The sequence below is a fragment of the Homo sapiens genome, chromosome 5 (assembly GCF_000001405.40).
Source record: "Homo sapiens chromosome 5, GRCh38.p14 Primary Assembly".
Taxonomy (NCBI): Eukaryota; Metazoa; Chordata; class Mammalia; order Primates; family Hominidae; genus Homo; species Homo sapiens.
In genome coordinates, this window is record NC_000005.10 from 163,474,461 (window position 1) to 163,497,194 (window position 22,734).

Here is a 22,734-nt window from a genome sequence, read left to right on the forward strand (position 1 = left end):
TCATTCTTGTGTTATTTAGGCTATATAAACATTTACACTTACCTTGTAAAAGACTGTCTAATTACAGAAGAAACAAAGCAATTTTTAAAATCCAGATTATTTATAGAACATTTTACATATCAGTGAGAAGAAAGAAAGTCCACTGAAAAATTATGGGCATAGGATGGAAACAGAGAAGGAGAAGTTCTGGCCTGTAAATATAGAAAGATACTCCACCTTAGTAGTAACCAAGGAAGTAGAAATAATATTTTTTTCACTTACAAAATTGGCACAAATTAAAACATTTGATAACACAAAATACTGGTGAGAGTTAAGCCAACAGGTACTTACATGCACTGATGTGAAATATTATAGTGTTGGACAACCTACAACAGCTAAAGGAATTGAGTAGATCTATATACACTGACCTGGAAAGATTTCAGCAACAGAGTATATATCATTTATATCCCTCCCCAAATGTATATGTATATATAAGTGTAAAGAAAAATACCAGAAGGCATATATATTCCAAACTAGTAGCTATCTCTGCAATGGGAAAACTAAAATTAGGGGGGGAAGTCGTCAAAGATAATATTAACATCATTTGTAATGTTAGAATTATTTCACAATGGTGATGTATTTGTATATTGTATAGCTTAAAAAATAATTTTATGTAATATGGAAATCACCACACACTTTTTACATAATATGTGAAAAATAATGTTAATATCAAAGCCAGTTGTAAAACAGATATATATATATAAAATATAATTTTAGATTAAGAAGTTTCTGCATGTGCGTTGCATAGAAAAAAGCCTAAGATGATATTTGCCACAATGTTAACAAGGTATAGGAAATAATCTATGAAAACAAATATGCTATTTCTATATTGTTTTAAGTTTCCTTGAATCTGTTGAATTTAGGTTTCATCCTTCTTTATCTGTACTTTTTTTTGTCTCCTAGTACAACCTCACAATGCCATTCCAAATTATTTTGGTGGTTTTCTGTTTGGATATAGGAATTATCTTCGAGTCTTCATCAGAAGCTCTGTTCTTTTCAAGAGGAAATGGTTAAAGAGAAGAATCTGTTTGAGGAAGAATTAAAGCAAACACTGGATGAGCTTGATAAATTACAGCAAAAGGAGGAACAAGCTGAAAGGCTGGTCAAGCAATTGGAAGAGGAAGCAAAATCTAGAGCTGAAGAATTAAAACTCCTAGAAGAAAAGCTGAAAGGGTTTGTATTAATAGGATCTCATGTTTATGTATGACTTCAGATGTATTTATTTTGAGTACTTTTTTTAGTATTCTCTTATCAATCATGTGAGCGTGTTAGGTTGGAATTATTTTATAATTAAGTAGTAATTATTAATTATTTTACAATTAAGTAGTAGACACAGAATGTGAACACAAAATGTACATGCAAACAAGTAAGACAGCCCCCTCTTTTAAGTTAAAAGTTAAAGGTTTTGCCCCCTTTTTTTAAGGCCAAAGAGAGTTTAAATAAACAAATGACAAAAGTTTTACACTTCTTTACTACTCTGCTAATTTCTGAAATTTATTGAACATCAGCATTAGAACAATAATCAACTCAGGGCTGGATGTGGTGGCTGATGCCTGCAATTCCCATACTTTGGGATGCCAAGGTGAGAGGACTGCTTGAGCTCAGGAGTTTGAGACCAGCCTGTGCAATATAGTGAGACCTCGTCTCTACTAAAAATTAAAAAAAAAACTAGCTGGGCACGGTGGTGTGTGCCTGTAGTCCCAGCTACTTAGAAAGTTGTGGGAGGAGAATCACTTAAGCCCACGAGATTAAGGCTGCAGTTAGCCGTGATCACGTCACTGCACTCTAGCCTGAGCAACAGAGTGAGACTCTGTCTCAAAAACAAACAAAACACAATAATGAACTTGGGGGAAAAAAATAAAGAATCCCTCCCATTAATAAATAGCATTCCCATTTTTGTCTATGCACTTACATAGTGTAAGTTATACCTTTAATTACATTTTTCCGGGAGCACAAACACTTCAGAAATAGCAATCAAAATGCAAAGCAGGCTGGCACAATGGCACATGCCTAAAGTCCCAGCTACTCAGGAGGCTGAGATGGGAGGATCTTTAGAGCCCAGGAGTTTGAGGCTGTAATGCTCAACGATTATACCTGTTAATAGCCATGGCACTCTAGCCTGGGCAACGTAGCACAAGATGCCACCTCAATCAATAACTGATAAAAAGCAAATGAGAAAAAATAATTATAACTGGGAAACATTCAGAAGTAAGAAATCTCTTATTTACAGTAGAAAGACTGAAATCTTGGCTGGGTGCGGTGGCTCACACCTGTAATCCCACCACTTTGGGAAGCCAAGGCAGCGAGATCACAAGGTCAGGAGTTCGAGACCAGCCTGGCCAACATGGTGAAACCCCATCTCTACTAAAAATACATAGTAAATTAGCCTGGCATCGTGGCGCACGCCTGTAATCCCAGCTATTCAGGAGGCTGAGGCAGGAGAATTGCTTGAACCCAGGAGGCGGAGGTTGTGGTGAGCTGACATCGCACCACTGCACTCCAGCCTGGGCGACAGAGGGAGACTGTGTCCCAAAAACAAAAGAAAAACTGAAATCTCACTTTTTTCCCGAACTCTAGTTCCTTATAATTTCTGCCACATTATGTTTCCTTCTCCCATACACTTATTTATTTCATTTTGTTTTGTTTTGTCCATAGTAATTGCTAATTTTTTATTTATTAAGAGAAACTATTCCTTAGCCTACATATTCATATTTCATAGTTCAGGAACACAGGTTAGTGACAAACACTACTACATTTATTTAAATTAAAAAGTCTGATTTGATTCTTGAGTTCAAATTGCAAATATTTAAATCCTTGGGATCTGATCATTAAAACACTTGTTGTCAAAGGACTGTGGGCTAGATATGAGTTTGTATTATTGTAATATATCTCACACCTGTGTATCTGTCTCAGTGGATACTTTTGTTATTAATCTTTTCTGTTTTCTTATGATTAGTGATGCAAATGAACAGCAAGGTTTTTCATATCCCTGCTTTTGGGGGAACAATACAAAATTGTAATTAGGGGTGTTGTTCTATACTACAGCCAATCTCAGGGAACAGGAATCTTGGGAAAATAAGATAATGTCATTTTAAGAGAGGAAAGAAAATTGAGATAATTTTTTATTCCAACTCAAAAAACTGTGGTCCAATGGTCAAGAGATAAGGATTTTTATTACTAATTCTGTTAGCTAGCTGGTTGATTCTGAGCAAAACAATCTTAGTTTCTTTGATCTTCTACTTCATTAGATATAAAAGAGTTTTATTAGATGGTCTCTAAGATCCCTTCTAGCCTGGAAATTTCAAGCTTAAGAGAAAAACAAACTAAGAATTGAAAATAATTCCTCTAGGGGACAGGGAAGAAAATATTTTTATTATAAACTCTTTAGTCATATTTGATTGCTCTTGCTGTGGTGTGTATATTTTTGAAATCCGGCACTTGTTACAGAATGAATTTGATCAGCTATTTTTCTTATCTCAGTGTCCAACTTAGTCTATAAGTACACAATGCTTATTTACAATTTTTAGTTCTGTATATTCTTTAAAAGATCTCTCATAAGCTCATATGCATATCTAAAAATTTTATCACCACTTTGGAAATATATTATTTCCAAAATATCCCTGAGATTTAATAGCATATGTATATAAAAATGACTTAAAACCCATTCTGTCTATGCAAAATAATCCATTAAAGAAGTTATTAAGTCTTTCAGTAATAGAGTATTATGTGGGTTATTCATATAATCAGAATAAATCCACAAAGTCTTGTAACTCTGTAGTTTAAAATGAAGTGGCTTTAATTGTTCATGGTATTTCTCAAGTGTCTAAATGGAGAGAATGAAACTTTATTCAATCCAGATGTTTTTTGACTGGTAATCTTTTGCAGTCTTTAGTCCTGGCTAGTATCTTAAGATTTGGTTTTATAGTCTTTTATATCCTACTACCTTCTTCACCCAAATTTTTAAAGTAAAATAAGCAGGAAAGATAAGTTGAAGCTAGTAGAAAAATGCATAAAAAACATGCTTTCGAGGTAAGTCATAAATTAGGATCTGAGCTATTTAGCAGGTAATGCAGTGGTGAAGATATGAGCTATATGATTCACAGTTTCAAAGGTAAATACTATTTTCTTTCTTAGGGTAGTAATTGTAGGTGGCATTTTATCTTTCAATTATTTCTTTTTCTTAGGAAGGAGGCTGAACTGGAGAAAAGTAGTGCTGCTCATACCCAGGCCACCCTGCTTTTGCAGGAAAAGTATGACAGTATGGTGCAAAGCCTTGAAGATGTTACTGCTCAATTTGAAAGGTATTTTTCTTGGGAGCCTGCACTCTTAAATATGATGTGTGCAGAAAGGGGTGTTTACCCCAGGAAATATGTGAGCAAAGCAGTCACACAAAGGATGATTCATACTAGTTTAAATTCCATAATCACCAACCGTAAGTGGGCATTTAGCATTATCTGGTAATCTTATTGTATTTATATAATTCCCCTTTATAATTTATAGAAATTCCCCTTTCTCACCATCCACTTCAACTTTTATGTGCTGAGCCAGGTGCGGCAGCATATGCCTGTAGTCCTAGCCACTGCATAAGCTGAGGTGGGAGGATCAAGTCATGTACTTAGAAGCATTTGGTGCTTCTGCCCTACTCTCTTGATGTTATCATTTTCATAAAGAATTCAGAAGTTTTTATCTCTTGCTAAACCTATAAAGAGACCCACATTTATACTCATCCTATCTTCCCACCTATTACAGATGAAATGTCCTAGTCTTTTAATCTTCAGTGACCTCATTCTATCATTTTGTTTTCTCATAATTTGAAACCTTTTTACTGGAATTTTTCCAATCAATATTAAAACATGTTAATGTACATCTGTCTGTAAAATATATTAATTAGCTGGCCACTGTGGCTCATACCAGTAATCCCAGTGCTTTGGGAGACCAAGGCAGGAGGATTGCTTGAGGTCAGGAGTTTGAGACCAGCCTGGGCAATAGAGTAAGACCTTGTTTCTACAAAAAAAAATATTAAGAATTAGCCAGGCATTGTGGCACATGCTACTTGGGAGGCTGAGGGCAGGAGGATCACCTGAGCCCAGGAGTTCCAGGCTGCACTGAGCTAAGATCACACCACTGCGCTCCAGCCTGGGTGACAGAGCAAGACTGTCTCAAAAACAAACGAAAAATAAATAAAATACATAAGTTGTTTTAAATACTTCTCTGACCCTAACTTCCTTTTGTAGCTGTCTCACACCACCAGTCATTCCCTTCTTAACCCCAAATTCTACTCCTTTTCAGTCCTTTTCCTTCTCCTCCTTTTTCTTCTCTTGACAGAGAAGATTGTCTCTATATCCACTTCCTCACCTCCCATGCCTTCTACTTATTTTCTCCTTAAATAAAAAGTTTATTTTGGGTGGAACTACAAATTACAAAGGCCAATATAATGAATACCTATATATTAATGTTAACATTTTTATTTATCACATTTACTTTAGCTCATTTTGGGGGAGAGTTTCCTTTCTTTTATTTAATAAATACAAAAGAATGCATAACATGTACATAAACTGTAGAGCTTGAAGATAAAACTGACATGCATGAACCTATAAAAGACAACCAGTAAGCCAAAAGATTTTCAACAACTTAGTATCCATATGTAAGTTCCTCTGCCATCCCATGAAAATGGGACAGATAACACTGTCCTGAAGTCTACACTAATTATTTCCTTGCTTTTTCCCCCCTGTGTATTATAATTTTATGACACGTATATCCATACAAATAATGCATTATGTAATTTTCCTTCTCCTTGAACTTTACCAAAAAATGTCATCATAGTATATGCCGTTTCCTGGGACTTATTTTTTCATTCTGCATTATGTGTGTTTTCAGGATTGAATTGTGTTGTCTGAGGCTATGGTTTGTTGATAGTCACTGCTATGAGTATTTTATTGTATGAATATACCACAACTTATTTATTCATTCTTTGGACTTTGAGTTGTTTCCCATTTGGTTAGTTATTATTAGTTATTTTGTGACTATAAGAATACATGTATGTAAGAATTTCTCTAAAGCCAAAGGTATATGAATGTTCAACTCTAAAACTTAATATCAAATCACTTTCCAATGTGGGAGTAAGAATCTACACTCCCACTAGTGTTGTATAAGTTTCCATTTATCTTCTTTGCCAAAGCTTGTTAGACTTCTTAAACTTTGCCAGTGTACTTAGTGTAAAATGGCTTCTTATTGTGGATAATTCATCTTTCCTTTTCCATAAAATGCTTGTTTATGACTTTTGTTTATTTGTCTATAGGGTTATCATCTTTTCCTCATTGATTTGTAGAGGTTTTCTTTATCAGCCATATGGGTTACAGGTATCTTCTGCCAGTTTAGCTTATTTTTTTATTTTCTTTTTGGTTTCTTCTGATGAGTGGAAATTCTTGATTTCAATATGGTTAAAATATTTATCTGTATGTGGGTACTTTTGCTTCTCATTTAAGAACTTCTTTCTATCTCAAGGTGTAAAGATATTCAACCAGTTTTCTTCTAAAAGTCTTAAAATTTCACTTTCCATTTTTCCACCTAGAACTGATTTCTGTGTGTGTAGCAATATAGGGATCAAATTCATTTTTTGTTTTCCCTATGGACAACCAACTGCCTAGTTTAATTTAATTCATTAAATTGTACCTTGTTTCCCCAGTGATCTGTTCCCACATGTGATACATTATGACAGACACATAGATAAATAATTTATAAGTGTATATGTTTTATTTATAATTTTTATTGTATCAGAACATATAAATCATATAAATATATGTAAATTTTATATATATATATTTATTGCTAATATCAATCCTGTAAAGGAATTTCCCTTCTCGTTAGTTTGAAGAATAGTGCTTCAGGGGGTTTTTATCTATTCTGTGATTTTAGTCACTATCCATATACTCGTGGCATTAAAATTTATTTCATCAAACCAGACCTTTCTTTACAGCTCCATATTCACATATCCAGTTACCCACTTGACATCTTCAAGTAGATATCACACTGTCTTTTAATATTAACCTGTCCAAACCAACTCTTGATCCTTCCATTGCTTTCTACCCCTAGTCTCTCATTGTTTTTATTGTAATCAGTGACATCATCTTCCCAGCTTTTCATTCTGTAAATCTTAGAGTCATCCTTCATCATTCTCTCTTCCTTACCCCCAATATTCAGTCTATCTCTTGAATTTTCCTACTCTGCTTCCAAAAGAGATCTTGTGTCTTTCCATTGCCAGCTCCTTAGTCTAAGCCTCCTTTATCACTCACCTGGGCTGATAAATAATTGTTTTGGAGTTGATCCTTCAATTTTCCATTCTTTTCCCCTGCCCTAATCCATCTTCCTCATAGCTCTAGAGTGAGCTACACATTTAATTAAACACCTTTTTATTTTATTTATTTGTTTATTTTGAGTCGGAGTTTCGCTCTTGTTGCCCAGGCTGGAGTGCAATGGCACTATCTCAGGTCACTGCAACCTCCCCCTCCCAGGTTCAAGTGATTCTCCTGCCTCAGCCTCCCGAGTAGCTGAGATTACAGGTGTCCACCACCACGCTTGGCTAATTTTTTGTGTTTTTAGTAGTGATGGGGTTTCACCATGTTGGTCATGCTGGTCTCGAACTCCTGACCTCAGGTGATCCACCCGTCTCGGCCTCCCAGAGTGCTGGGATTACAGGCATGAGCCACCACGCCCAGCCTACTTGGACACCTTTAATGGTTCCCGTCTGTCCGCCAGGTAAGCCCACTGTGCCCTGCGGTGATGACCCTCATGCCACCAGCTTCTGCTCCAGCCTTTCTTACTCATTAGGCTCTAGTCTCACTTCTTATTTTTTAAATTGTGAGTAATTTTCATGCTTGGTAGTTGATTTCTTTTCCATCTCTGTATGCATACTTCCTGCACCTAGTAGGCACTTGATTTTTTTTTCTTTGAATACACAGCAGATGCCATGTAAACTCATTAGTACTTGCCTCAGAACACTGAATTCTTACCTGTGTTAAATGCATGAATACATTAAAAACTTTTTAGTTTTACTTAGAAGTATATAAAGTGTAAACTAATCAGTTATGATTGTCATACGCAATAGTTAGAAAACTACTTTGACTTTTTTTTCTTTTTAATAAGCTATAAAGCGTTAACAGCCAGTGAGATAGAAGATCTTAAGCTGGAGAACTCATCATTACAGGAAAAAGCGGCCAAGGCTGGGAAAAATGCAGAGGATGTTCAGCATCAGATTTTGGCAACTGAGAGCTCAAATCAAGAATATGTAAGGTATATAGAGCAAATAATGGCCTTAGAACCATTAAGACAATTTAATGTTGAAAGCCAGCTAGTAACTGTCCCTTGGCTTGCTTTTGGCCATCTTATACTGCAAATTAAGAATTTACTCAGTTAAAAAATGACACTTCTTGAAGAGTTCCTTGAGGTTTAAAGAAAAAAAAAGGAAAAATTAATGAAAGTGGCTATAAAATGTTTAGTGACCTCTTCTCTCTCAAACCAAAGGATGCTTCTAGATCTGCAGACCAAGTCAGCACTAAAGGAAACAGAAATTAAAGAAATCACAGTTTCTTTTCTTCAAAAAATAACTGATTTGCAGAACCAACTCAAGCAACAGGAGGAAGACTTTAGAAAACAGCTGGAAGATGAAGAAGGAAGGTAATCTATGATTAGAACCTGAGTGCCTTGTTAACTCAGTTACGATGTGATTTTTTAAATAACTATGTTTTTCTCAATTTAATTCTTCCATGCAGAAAAGCTGAAAAAGAAAATACAACAGCAGAATTAACTGAAGAAATTAACAAGTGGCGTCTCCTCTATGAAGAACTATATAATAAAACAAAACCTTTTCAGGTTTGTCAGTTAGGAGTAAACTTACTTGTGTTTATTTTAGGGACTCACTTTGTTCCCTATTATAGTGAGGACAGTGACTCGGGTTTTCTGCAAGATCATTTTGCTCTGCACTTACAGTGCCAATTTAGCTCACTATTAAAGGTTTATACATTTTATTAAATTATGCATAATTTTTTCCCACATTATTGAAGTATAATTGACAAATTTAATTGACATAATTTTTTCAATGGACCCTTTGTGGTTTAAAAAAAAACTTTGTAATGTGGAACTTAAAAGTTTGGCTCAGAGGGCTTGCCTGGTATGAGCTTTTGATAATTAACCTATTTTAATTTGTGGTATGACTTATTGCAAATACTCATTGTTTCTCAATATACTGATCTTTTAAAAGAAAAAAGAATAAATGCTGATTTTGGAACTTAGAAGTACAGTATTGGTTATAATGTGGTAATCTAACTGATACAGATAAAACTGGCCAGCTGGCTTTTTTACCTTGTTTCTTTTCCTCTGTTTTAATGATCTTTAAAATGAAAAATACAAAGTTTAAAAGATTCTCATAGAGAATCTATGGAGAGCCCTGAGAATATGTGAACATACCTTGTTTTCATTTGTGTTTTTAATTTTCTTTAGTGTTTATGGTTTATATGAAACTAGTAAGATCAAACTGTTTTAAGTCTTAACTTTATTTAAAAAATCTTTTTCAGCTACAACTAGATGCTTTTGAAGTAGAAAAACAGGCATTGTTGAATGAACATGGTGCAGCTCAGGAACAGCTAAATAAAATAAGAGATTCATATGCTAAATTATTGGGTCATCAGAATTTGAAACAAAAAATCAAGCATGTTGTGAAGTTGAAAGATGAAAATAGCCAACTCAAATCGGTTTGTAAAATGACTTTTCATTTTATTAAAGATATTGGAGTGGGGGTTATTCTAACTATAATACTTAAATAAAATGAATATCTTTGGTATCAGAAAAAAATAACTGTTTATAGAGGAAAATTGAGCTGTGATTTAGTGGATTTATTTTAGAGTGTTGACCAGATGGGCATTCAATGTTCTAAAGTTTTCTAGCTACCTTCTTAATATATTGAAAATTACTTGAGTAATTGGATGAATTCATTAAGCTTTACATATCTATTTCCATTTGCAAAACTGCAAACTCCTTGATGTAAAACCATAAAGAGAAGCAGTGTTCAAAAATATTTGGGCATTTAAATTTTTTAACATATGTATTGAGATATAATTGACAACCCATACAATCCACCCATTGAAAGTGGACAATTCAGTGTTTTTTAGTATACTCACAGATTTGTGCAACCATCACCATAGTCAATTTTAGGACATTTTCATCACCTCAAAATGAAACCTTGTTATCCTTTTCCTAACACTCTCCTATCTCCTCACCCCACCCCACCCTTCAGCCCTAAGAAACCACTAATCTACTTTCTGTCTCTGTTGATTTCCCTATTGTGGACCTGGCATATTCATGGATTCAAATAATATGTGGCCTTTTGTTACTGGCTTCTTTCAGTCAATTAGCATAATATTTTCAAGATTCACCTGTGTTGTAGCATGGAGAGTACTTTATTTTTTTTATAGCCTAATAATTCATTATGTGGGTATACCACATTTTATTTATTCGTTTGTCAGTTGATAAACACTTGTTTGCACATTTTTGGCTATTATGAATAATGCTACCATAAACATTCATGTACAAGTTTTTGTATGGACATTTGTTTTTTCCTGGGACATATTATTTCCCTGGGAAATAATAGGAGGGAAATTGCCAGATCATTTGATAACTCTACATTTAATCATTTCAGGAAGTATCAGACTACATTCAGATGAGATCGGGTGCGTTCAGGGTGGTATGGCCATAGAAAGGTCAGGCTGTATTCAAAAGTGGCTCATACCAATCTATATTCTACAGGCGGTGTACGAGGGTTCCAATTTCTCCACATTCTTACCAACATTTGTTATTATCTGACTTCTTTATCCTAGCCATTGTAGTGGGTATGAAGTGGTATCTCATTAACTTAACTTGCATTTTCTTAATTGGTAATGATGTTGGTCATCTTTTCATGTGCTTACTGGCCATTTGTATATCTTCATGAAAGAAATGTCTGTTTATACTCTGCTCATTTTTAAATTGGATTATTAGTCTTTTTATTATTGTGAGAATTCTTCATCAATTCTGGACACAAGTCTCTTATGTATTATTTGCGAATATCTTCTCCCATTCTGTGCATTGTCTTTTCACTTTCTTGATGATGTCCTTTGACCCAAAAAACTTTTATGACGTCCAGTGTGTCTATTTTTTTGTTTGTTCGTTCCTTGGTATCTATCTCCTCTGCCAAATTCAAGGTCAGGAAGATTTACCCCTGTGTTTTCTTCTAAGAGATTTATAGTTTTAGCTCTTACATTTAGATTATTGATTGATTTTGAGTTAATTTTTGTATGTGGTGTGAGGTAAGGGTCCAGCTTCATTCTTTAGCATGTGGACATGCAATAGTCCCCACACTATTTTTTAAAGAGAATATTCTTGCCTCCAGTTAATGGAGTTAGCATCCAATTAAAAAATCATTTAGACTGTACATGTATGGATTTATTTCTAGACTCTCAACTGTCTTCCATTGATCTATACATCTATCCTTGTGCCACCACACTGTCTTGATTACTGTTGTTTTGTAGTAAGTTTTGAAATCAGGAAGCGTGAGTCCTCTTTGTATTTTTCAATATGGTTTTGTCTATTCTGGACCTCTTGCAATTCTATATTAATTTTGGAATCAGTTTTTCTACAAAGAAACCAGCTGGGATTCTGATGGGAATTGCATTGAATCTGTAGATCAGTTTGGGACATATTATTATCTTCACTAGGTTAAGTCTTCTAATACATGAATATGGGATATTTTTCCAATTATTTAGATCTCATTTAATTTCTTTCAACAATGTTTTATAGTTTTCAGAGTATAAGTTTTCCACTTCTCTTGTTAAATTTATTACTATTTTATTCTTTTTGATGTTTTGTAAATGAAATTGTTAATTTCATTTTTGGATTGTTGATTGCCAGTGTATAGAAATACAATTGATTTTAATATATTTATCTTGTATCCTGCACCCTTGCTAAACTCATTTTAGTTCTAATAGTTTTTTAGTGGATTCCTTAGGATGTTCTTATAGATCATGTCTTTTGCAAATAGAGATAGTGTTACTTATTTTCCAATCTGGATGCCTTTTATTTCTTTTTCTTGTCTAATATCTCTGGCTAAAACCTGTAGTATAATACAGTGTTGAATTTAGAAGTAATGAAAATGGATGGACAGCCTTGCTTTGTTCCTGATCTAGGGGGAAAGCATTCAGTCTTTCTCCATGATATATGATGTTACCTGTATGATGTATATAGCGTGACATTATTAGATGTTGATTTGTTGGCCAGCCGAGGTGGCTTACGCCTATAATCCCAGCACTCTGGGAGGCCAAGGCAGGTGGATCACCTGAGGTCAGGAGTTTGAGACCAGCCTGGCCAACATGGTGAAACCTCGTCTCTACTAAAAATACAAAAGTTAGCTAGGTGTGGCGGCGGGCGCCTGTAATCCCAGCTACTTGGGTAGGAGAATGGCTTGAACCCAGAAGACAGAGGTTGCAGTGAACCGAGATGGAGCCATTGAGCCTGGGAGACAACAGCGAAACAATCTAAAAAAAACAAAGATGTCGATTTGTCATAGATGCTCTTTATCAAGTTGAGGAAGTTCCCTTCTGTTTCCTAGTTTGTTGAGCATTTTTATATGAAAGGGTAATGAATTCTATCAAGTGCTTCTTCTATTTCTATTGAGATTATCATGTAATTTTTTTATTCTGTTGATATGATGTATTTTATTAATTGATTTTTAGATATTAATCTAACCTTCTGAGATAAATCTCACTTGGTTATGGCATATAATTATTTTTATATGTTGCTGAGGGGTTTTTTTCAGCCATATTCCTAAGATATACTGGTCTGTAGGTTTTCTTTGCTTTGTTTTTGTTTTTTTAATGTCTGTCTCATTTTGGTATCAGGGTAATGGTGACATCACAAAATGAGTGAGAAATGTTCCCTCTTTTCTATGTGGAATGGTTTTTGAATAATTGGTATTAATTCTTCATTGAATGTGTGGTAGAATTTATTGGTGAAGCCATCTGGACCTTGGTTTTTCTTGTGAATATTTTTTGGTTACTAATTCAATATCTTTACTTGATATAGGCTTATTCAGATTATCTCTTTCTTCTTGATTCGGTTTTCTTCTTGAGTAGTTTATGTCTTTCTATAAATGTGCCTAATTTGTTGGTATATAATTGTTCATAGTATTCCTTTATAATCTTTTTTTTATTTCTGTAAGGTCAGTAGTAATGGCTTCTCTTTATTTCTGATTCTAGTAATTTGAGTCTTTTTTTTTTAAGTTTCTTTCTTTTTTTAAATTTTTAGTGGAGAAAGAACTTTATTTTTTTGTTTGGTTTTTGGGTTTTTTTAGAGACAGGATCTCACTCTGTCACCAGGCTAGAGTGCAGTGATGCAATCACGGCTCACTGCAGCCTCAACCTCCCTGGGCTCAGGTGATCCTCCCACCTCAGCCTCCCAAGTAGCTGGGACTACAGGCGTGCGCCACCACATCCGGCTAATTTTTCTACTTTTTGTAGAGACAGAGTTTTGCCATGTTGCCCAGGCTGGTCTGGAGCTCCTGGGCTCAAGGAATCTACCAGCTTTGGCCTCAAAATGCTGGGATTATAGGCTTGAGCCACTGCACCTGGCCAAGAACTTTTCTTTTTTATAATTTCATCTTTTATTTTAGATGTGGGGGTACATATGCAGATTTGTTACATGGGTGCATTGCATGATACTGAGGTTTAGGGTATGACAGGTCCCGTCAGCCAGGCAGTAAGGATAGTACTCAATAGGTGGTTTTTCAGCCCTTGTTTAATGGCTGAAAAATCCAACATCCGATTACTCTCAGACATTTTTTCTCCTTGTGTCCAAATGTATAGGTTATACTTTTCTGTTTATTGGCATGCCTTGTAATTTTTCATTGGAAAGTAAATTTTTAGATCATATATTGTAGCATTTCTGGGTACAGCTCCCCCTCCTTTTGGGGGCTTTTTATTTGCTTGTTTGCTTAATGAGTGGCTCAATTATTTTAGGGAAACATATCCCACTACCTCCCCAGACCCCAACAGTATTGTGCCTCTGATGTTGCTGTTCAGGGAGGTACAGTTTTAGGTGTGCCCACAATTACCCTGGGATGACACTTGCTTTGGTAGGGCTGCCTTCCTCTCTTTCCGTGAACATAGTGACTGTAAACTCCAGTAGATGCTGGCTCCTTGCTTGATTATTTGCAACAGTGCCTTAGGGCATAAATTGCTCTATAAACTAATCCAATCAAATTCTGGCTCCTTTGTAGGGATTGCATACGAGAGCAGTGCTGGATATTTATTCTGACTACAGAAGGGCTCGTCCCAGCTGTCATATTCCCTAGTTTTCTCCTGCAAACTAACTAGCCTACTGTTCAGCCTGTATCTTAAATCTCCTCCCATTTCTCTCTCACTATAACCACCACTGTTCTTTAATGGTTCCCCAACCTTTTTGGCACCAGGGACCAGTTTTGTGGAAGGCAGTTTTTCCACAGACCGGATCACCCAGCTTGTGATGGGTTTATGTGGATGGTTTCAGGATTAAAGTGTTCCACCTCAGATCATGAGGCATTAGATTCTCATAAGGAGCATGCAGCCTAGATCCCTCACATGTGCATTTCACAATAGGGTTCACACTGCTGTGAGAATCTAATGCCGCAGCTGATCTGCCAGGAGGGGGAGCTCAGGGGGTAATGCTTATGCTTCCTGGCTCACCACTTACCTCCTGCTCTGCAGCCGGGTTCCTAACAGGCCTTGGATGGGTATTGGTCTGTAGCCCGGAGGTTGGGGACCCCTGCTTTAGAGCACCCTTAGGCTTCAGCTTCTCCAAGCTCTGTTGCAGGTGAAGTCAGTTCCTTTGAAAAGAAATGAGGAGCTCCCTGTTTTATGGCCTACTTGTCTTTTCCGCCCTCCTTTCCCCCTCCCCCGACAATATCCCTGAGCCAGGACTAGAGCTGAAATTGGGGACAATGGCAGTTTTCTCTCTGAGTGACATCCTCTGCCCTAGGAGCTGAGTTTTCAGTGGACTTGTGGGGAAGAGATGAGGAATAGCCTCAGGCCCTCTTGAGTAACCTCCTGGTGTAGAACCATCCCCCTCATGAGCCAGAGAAAGAGTCATCGGGGCCCAGCATTTTCAACACACTGTGCCCAAGGTGAGCCCCTGTTCCATGAATGGGGCTGACTGGAGGAAGGGATCCCCCACCTCACAATTGCATTTGTCCAGGATATAACTGCAGCCACAGGGAGCTGGGGACAAAATGAGAAACTCTGATGTCCTGGTCCTCCTGGGAGGGAAGCTTCTGACTCGGAGTTGGGGGAAAAGAGGGCCCTGTGCTTTTGGCTGTAGCCGTCTGGCGTGGACTTTGCCTTGCTAAGCTGGGAGTGGGAAGAGGGGAAGGAGTTTTGGCTTAAACACTGCAGACTCTCTTTTTCACCAAATTTTTGCAGATTTTCTTGAATAGATGTTTCTTCATTTGCTATTTTTCCCTTAGGTCAATTTTCAGAGGCTTTAACTGGTTAATATTTTATAACTTTTAGTTTCACTAGGGAGCAGGTCAGCAGAACTTTCATGCTGTCATGCCAGAAGTCCATCTCAGCAATTACTTTTGAGTTGAACTTTTATCAGAAAAATAGCTTTGTAGCTGAGGAGGGGCAAGGAGATTTAAAAGACTGTATCTCCTTTGTCACAGCTGTTTCATGTCATTTTGTAATTCAGTCTTAAAGCCTGTGTCTAGTAGTGATTTTTGCTGTTGAGTGTGATAATACATAAACAACTTTGGAATTTGCCCGCAACATTGGTAACACATTTCACTGACATACTCTTTAATAATTGTTTATTACCTATTATTTCTTTTTACCTAGGAAGTATCAAAACTCCGCTGTCAGCTTGCTAAAAAAAAACAAAGTGAGACAAAACTTCAAGAGGAATTGAATAAAGTTCTAGGTATCAAACACTTTGATCCTTCAAAGGCTTTTCATCATGAAAGTAAAGAAAATTTTGCCCTGAAGACCCCATTAAAAGAAGGTAAGACATGAATAAATGTATAAAAGTGTCCTCTTCCTTTGGATTTGCTTTTATAGCATTTAGCAAGTCATCCATTTTATGAACTGTGAAAATTTGTTGACACCTTCTGATAAAAGCAGTTCTTACTGAGATTGTTGTGTACAATGACTGTTTTCTTCCTCCTTCTACGCTTTCTTTTCTGTATACCTGGATTCTGCCTGTTCTTCAAGGCAAATCTCAAATCTTCCTTGAAGCTTTGCATGACTATTTTGTCCCTGTCCACACACCCCAAATTACTCCCTCTATAATACCCTTAGCATTTTAACCTAAATGTCTCTTAGGTCCTTAATCATTTTCTGATTTGTAGTTTTAGAGAAGTAAATTTCTTATTTCTTGACTGTGAATGTTTGTCTTTCACGATAAATTAAAGTTGGTTGAAATGATAAATCTAAAAATTATCTTACAGAATATATTGCTTCATCTGCCTTAAAGAAGATACAAGGCCTGTTTTTAGTTTATAATGATGGATAAATTCGTTTTAATCTAGATTACTAATCCTTCTTTTCAATAATTCTTCTAGGCAATACAAACTGTTACCGAGCTCCTATGGAGTGTCAAGAATCATGGAAGTAAACATCTGAGAAACCTGTTGAAGATTATTTCATTCGTCTTGTTGTTATTGATGTTGCTGTTATTATATTTGACATGGGTATTTTATAATGTTGTATTTAATTTTAACTGCCAATCCTTAAATATGTGAAAGGAACATTTTTTACCAAAGTGTCTTTTGACATTTTATTTTTTCTTGCAAATACCTCCTCCCTAATGCTCACCTTTATCACCTCATTCTGAACCCTTTCGCTGGCTTTCCAGCTTAGAATGCATCTCATCAACTTAAAAGTCAGTATCATATTATTATCCTCCTGTTCTGAAACCTTAGTTTCAAGAGTCTAAACCCCAGATTCTTCAGCTTGATCCTGGAGGTCTTTTCTAGTCTGAGCTTCTTTAGCTAGGCTAAAACACCTTGGCTTGTTATTGCCTCTACTTTGATTCTGATAATGCTCACTTGGTCCTACCTATTATCCTTCTACTTGTCCAGTTCAAATAAGAAATAAGGACAAGCCTAACTTCATAGAAACCTCTCTATTTTTAATCAGTTGTTTAATAATTTACAGGTTCTTAGGCTCCATCCTGTTTGTATGAAATTATAATCTGTGGATTGGCCTTTAAGCCTGCATTCTTAACAAACTCTTCAGTTAATTCTTAGATACACTAAAAATCTGAGAAACTCTACATGTAACTATTTCTTCAGAGTTTGTCATATACTGCTTGTCATCTGCATGTCTACTCAGCATTTGATTAACATTTGTGTAATATGAAATAAAATTACACAGTAAGTCATTTAACCAATTAATTTTTCAGCTTGTATTTTATGAAGTTACATTCATGCTTCTATGTAAGATGTATTTATCATCTCTACCCTACCCACACCACCTTGTCCCCAGAATCACAAAAGATACTGTTTGGAAAGTGGTAAATCTCTCTCTAAAATGCCTGTTTTGCACATATCATTGGTATGATATTTATAAGCTACCTTTTTTATAATGTGTTCTCACTGATGGCTCAACAGGGACTATCAGTCAGAATTGCTTTTCATTATTATTTTATTAGATCTTAATACATGGTTGAATTTTAAAATACAGTTTTTTAAATTAAGTTCAGAAGAAACGTAGAAATTAGAAAAATTGTCTAATAAAATAAAATGGTTTAATGGGCTGGGCCCAGTGGCTCACGCCTATAATCCCAACACTTTGGGAGGCTGAGGCAGGTGGAATTCAAGACCAGCCTGAGCAACATAGTGATACCTCATCTCTAAAAAATATATAAATAAATAATAAAATGCTTCAGGACCTCTACTTTTAGCCAACATGGGGTAACAAGATGAACAACCAGGTGCACTGCCCAAAGTTCTGCCCACTGGGAGGATTTCTCTTTACCACTATCCTTCAGGGATGTCCCAGAGAAGGGCTGGTGTACTATGGCTATCCACTTTCAGGTGATGCCTACATATCACACAGAACCATCTATAAACTAGGCCCATGTTGTTTCTTCCTGTCAACTCATCATAGGGAACTCTCCATGAGCTTGGGAGAAAAAAGGCAAGGTAGCAGGAACAGGGACCATGGGCATTTGGGTCACTTCTTCATGTAACTTGCTTTTGCCTTCAGGTCCTGCCTGGGCCCAGTCACATACATAACACGTTCTTTGATGATGTACTCCTGCTGTCCACACCCAGCATTATGGCTTGTGGGTCAGATAACACCCAGCTCATGATGGGCAGCTCAGGTCGCATGGTAACTTAATTGACCACGGTAAGCATTCAGTCCCTACTGAAGCCCAGCAGTAGGCCCAGAGCTGTTTCTCAAAAGAGTAGTTATCTGCATAGGATAACAGGTCTTTCTTCAAAATACTAAGGGTCTGCACTGAGATTCATCTATGTGGGCCTGCCAAAGGTTCCAACAGCATCTCTATCTGCCACTGACACTTCAAATACCACTGGATCTGCAAGTTCATATGTCCCAAGCAACAAAGCCGCTTACACAATAGCCTGGACCTATTGCAGAACCTTTCCTATTCTGAGTCCTACTCCAAACTAGCAGCTTTTCAAGTCACTCAGTAAATGGGCCAGAGTAACAAACTCAAATGAGGAAACGTCTTCAAAATCCAAAGAGGCCTGCCGCATGTCATGCCTCTTCTGGTTGTAGGAGGGGGCAGATGCAAAAACTTACCTTAGAAGGGGTATCTCAACATGCCTCATACCACTGGACCCCTAGAAATTTTACTGAGACATGAAAAAGCCTTTGAATTTTTGTTGGATTTACTTCCCACTTCTGACATGCAAATGTCTTACCAATAGGTCTGGAGTAGTTGCTATGTCTCACTCATTAGGTCCAGTGAGCATAATGTCGTCAATGTAATGGACCAATGTGATGTGGAAAGAAAAGGCAATCAAGATTCCTGTGAACAAAATTAGGACAGGGCTGGTGAGTTGATATGCCCTGAGGTAGGACATGAAGGTGCATTTCTAGCCTTGCTAGCTAAAAGCAAACTGCTTCTGGTCGGCCTTATAGACAGGGATGGAGAGAAAGGCATTTGCCAGATCATACCAGGTAGCTGCATACCAGGAACCAGGAGTTGTGTTAATTTGCTCAAGCAATACATCTGGTACTGTAGCTGCAATTGGAGTCACCACCTAGTTAAGTTTGTGATAATCCATCTGTCTTCTGCCCAGGCTAAATAGGCGAGTTGAATGGACATATGGTAGGAATCACCACCCCGCCTTCCTTCAAGTACTTATGGTGGCACTAATCTCTTCAGTCCCTATAGGAATTGAGCATTGCTTTTGGTTTACTATTTTCCTAAGTACAGATAGTTCTAGTGGCTTCTACTTGGCCTTTTCCACCATAATAGCCCTCACTCCATAGGTAAGGAAACCAATGTGTGGATTATTCTGTCAGCTGCTGACTGTATTCTAATTATACATTCTAGAACTAGGGGATAACCACAGGATAGGTTCAGGAATTCACTGGGCCCATTGTGAGATGGAACTAAGCTAAAACTCTGCTGATCACCTGACCTCCATAAGCTGCTACCCTGACAGTAGCACTTTGGATCTCCTGAAATTAGTGTCACTTCAGAGAGCCAGTGTCCACTAGTTCACAAAAGATCTGATTATTCCCTTTTTCTAATGCACAGTTACGTTGGTAAAGGTTGTACATCCCTTTGCGGAGGACTAGGAGAAAGACTAACAGTATAAACATTTGGTTATGGACCAGGGTCCCTTTGAGGTCCTCCCCTTCAATCAAAGGGTTTTGGGCTCTATAAAGTGGCTCAAGTTTGGGAATTAAGGGACCACGATTCTGTTTTTATGATTCGAGTTCAACTTTCGTCACTTGACTTAGAAGTTTTCTGCTTATACAGATCAAGTTAAGACTTCAGTAGGCTTCCTATCTATTTCACGTCTAGGAAAACCATGATCAACTAGCCAAAGCATAGGTCTACAAGTGAGATTATTCTAATTGTTCCTTTGGCTCTGTCATTATGATAACCACTTCACCTTGCCTTTGGTGGTTGAGTCCCATTACTTGACCCTTGCCACCCTGGGATCCTTTACTTCCATTATATTTAGGTTTTCCAGTTCAGTGACTGCAGTGAGCTCTGGCCTACAGAGAAGAGCCATCACAGAGTTCTGAAAAAGATGCTGGAGCTCTCCTCGCAAATTTCTTTCTCATAGTATTGGTGAAAGGTATGCTTTCTTGACCTTCCCAGTGTGGATGAGTAGTTCTTTTTTTTTTTTTTTTTTTGAGACGGAGTCTCGCTCTGTCGCCCAGGCCGGACTGCGGACTGCAGTGGCGCAATCTCTGCTCACTGCAAGCTCCGCTTCCCGGGTTCACGCCATTCTCCTGCCTCAGCCTCCCGAGTAGCTGGGACTACAGGCGCCCGCCACCGCGCCCGGCTAATTTTTTGTATTTTTAGTAGAGACGGGGTTTCACCTTGTTAGCCAGGATGGTCTCGATCTCCTGACCTCATGATCCACCCGAGATGAGTAGTTCTTAAGTGAAAAATCTAATTTCCCAATATTCCTAAACCTTTTAATCCCATCCTCTAGATTAAACCAAGGCATGTCCAGCACTTCCAATTCATCTTTTCCATGTTTTAGTAAGCCAATCAAACTGTGAGCACCCTTTCTAACTCCCCAAGCTGCAATGTTAAATGCAGAATCTTGGCTTAGTGAGCCCATGTCAATAAATTTGACCTGATCCAACTTTATGTTCCTTCCATCATTTTCCAACACCTTTATTATCCATTCCGACATATGTTCCCAGATTTTTGTCTGTATAAATTAGAGACTTTGAGTAACTCTTTGGAGTATAGCACATCTCTTCATAGGTAACACTTTGTTCCTGTCTAGTTTCAGGTCTAGAAGCAAAGAAGGGTGGTGGAGTTGGGTCTGGAGGAGAACCAACATTGTCTTGCATATCAACTGCCTCAAAGGAGGCCATTACAATTTCCTCAGGCAATGCAGTGTTAATCATCACAGACAGGTTGGAGGGTACTATCACTGGAAATGGAGAAGCTGCTTCCAATGGGGTTGAGAAGCCTCTCCACTAGCAAAGAAGACTCATCAGAATTTAGGGGCTTAATGTCCCCAGCTTCATCAAGGTCTTCCCATATGTCCCAATCCTAATTTACAGAATCCCATTTTTTTTTCAGTAAGTGCCCTCCTTTTGACAATAGTCACTCTGCAAGGCTGGAATTCTAATTTGTGTTGTAATTCAGCCAGTCACAGGATGAGATGCTGTGTTTGATTTTCAACAGTCTCAGCTCTGGGGCTACAGGAGATAGGGTTTTCTTCAGGGTGCACATAGAAGCTTTCAGATTATTTATGGAGCACTTGAGCTGGGAATAAAAATCCCTACACTCACTTTTGCACCACTTTATCCAGTGACATTAGAAACAACCAACTGTCCTCATTATACTCATTATGAGGCAGAATAGGTAGTCAAGGAAGTAAACATGCCCTTGGTATGCAGCAACTGTGGCTTACTGCACCACATACTTTAACAAAATAAGCCCCAGCATTCACATTGTAGTCAAGCTAATTCAAGCAAAGCTATCTTCAGTAGGAAATTTCCCTGTATATAGCATATACATTTTGATTTTACCTATCCTCAGCCTGACCCTTTGTTCATTATAATAGTAAAAAACCCACTGCTGGGTGGAGATTTAAGATGCTAATGAGACATGCGATATATGAACAAGCATGTACAGCTACTGCTCTTGTGCACCCAGAGGACCACCCAGAACATGCTTACTAGTAACACCTCTTCCCACCCCCTTATGATTAATCATGTAAGACTCCCAGAAAGGGAGTCTCCCTAGTGCCAGTCTTTATGATCTCATCCTTACCAGCAGCCTGTACTGAATCCTCTCTCTAAGGATGTACTATCTATTGTGCACTTAACTTTCAAAATATTCTTTTTCCTTTGCAATGAATTGTTTAATGCTGCAACTTCTCCACTCTGTGTCTCTTAAGTTCTTTTAGACTAAGAAGACAAGAACAAAGGTTTCATAACAGCCATCAACAATTAGTTTTCCAAAAATCAAAAAAAAATATCATATACACAGTTAGCCAGCTCCTTGCCTCTTATAACTGGCTGATTAGAAGTGGCCAATGCAATTATTTTGTGTATTTCTATTGCCAGATCATGCTATGCACTCAGTGCTCACTTTACTAACTGGAAAGAATCATTAACACGTTTAATAAGATCAGAGTACCAATCCCAAGAACCCTGGAACCATCAGGAAACTCATCCTTAACATTCTGTCCCTCTAGAACAACTCTTGGTACCAAAATCTGTATTAGTCACAGTTCTCCAGAGAAACAGAACCAGTAAGAGATACATAGAAAAGTTGATTTACTATGAGGAATTGGCTGACATGATTATGAAGGCTGAGAAGGCTTGCAACCTGCCATTTGCAGGCTGGAGACCCAGGAAAGCAGGTGTTGTTCAGTACAAGCTTGAAAGCCTGAGAACCATCATAGCAGAAGGTATAAGTCTCAGTCCAAAGTCAGCAAAAGACTGGGGTCAGGAAGAAGGG

The 22,734-nt window shown here is 37.4% G+C and overlaps 1 protein-coding gene and 1 long non-coding RNA gene across 5 annotated transcripts in view; one reads left to right on the forward strand and one right to left on the reverse strand.

Annotated features, from left to right (window-relative positions):
• Nucleotides 1-17,481, forward strand: part of HMMR (hyaluronan mediated motility receptor) — a 31,310-nt gene extending 13,829 nt beyond the window's left edge. For all 4 annotated transcript variants that reach the window (NM_001142556.2, NM_012484.3, NM_012485.3 and 1 more), the window contains 8 exons: nt 998-1,212; nt 4,224-4,340; nt 8,182-8,328; nt 8,560-8,712; nt 8,808-8,907; nt 9,609-9,785; nt 15,930-16,092; nt 16,652-17,481. In NM_001142556.2, coding sequence (NP_001136028.1) covers nt 998-1,212; nt 4,224-4,340; nt 8,182-8,328; nt 8,560-8,712; nt 8,808-8,907; nt 9,609-9,785; nt 15,930-16,092; nt 16,652-16,704 — 1,125 coding nt within the window. In that variant the 3' untranslated portion in view covers nt 16,705-17,481. The remainder of the gene's footprint in view (nt 1-997; nt 1,213-4,223; nt 4,341-8,181; nt 8,329-8,559; nt 8,713-8,807; nt 8,908-9,608; nt 9,786-15,929; nt 16,093-16,651) is intronic.
• HMMR-AS1 (HMMR antisense RNA 1) lies at nt 8,144-19,598 on the reverse strand. Its single transcript, NR_109892.1, has 4 exons — nt 19,239-19,598; nt 18,983-19,089; nt 14,791-14,923; nt 8,144-8,812 (listed from the first exon to the last, which is right to left on the reverse strand). It is a non-coding gene; the product is annotated as an HMMR antisense RNA 1 (long non-coding RNA).
• Nucleotides 19,599-22,734: the final 3,136 nt, after the last annotated feature.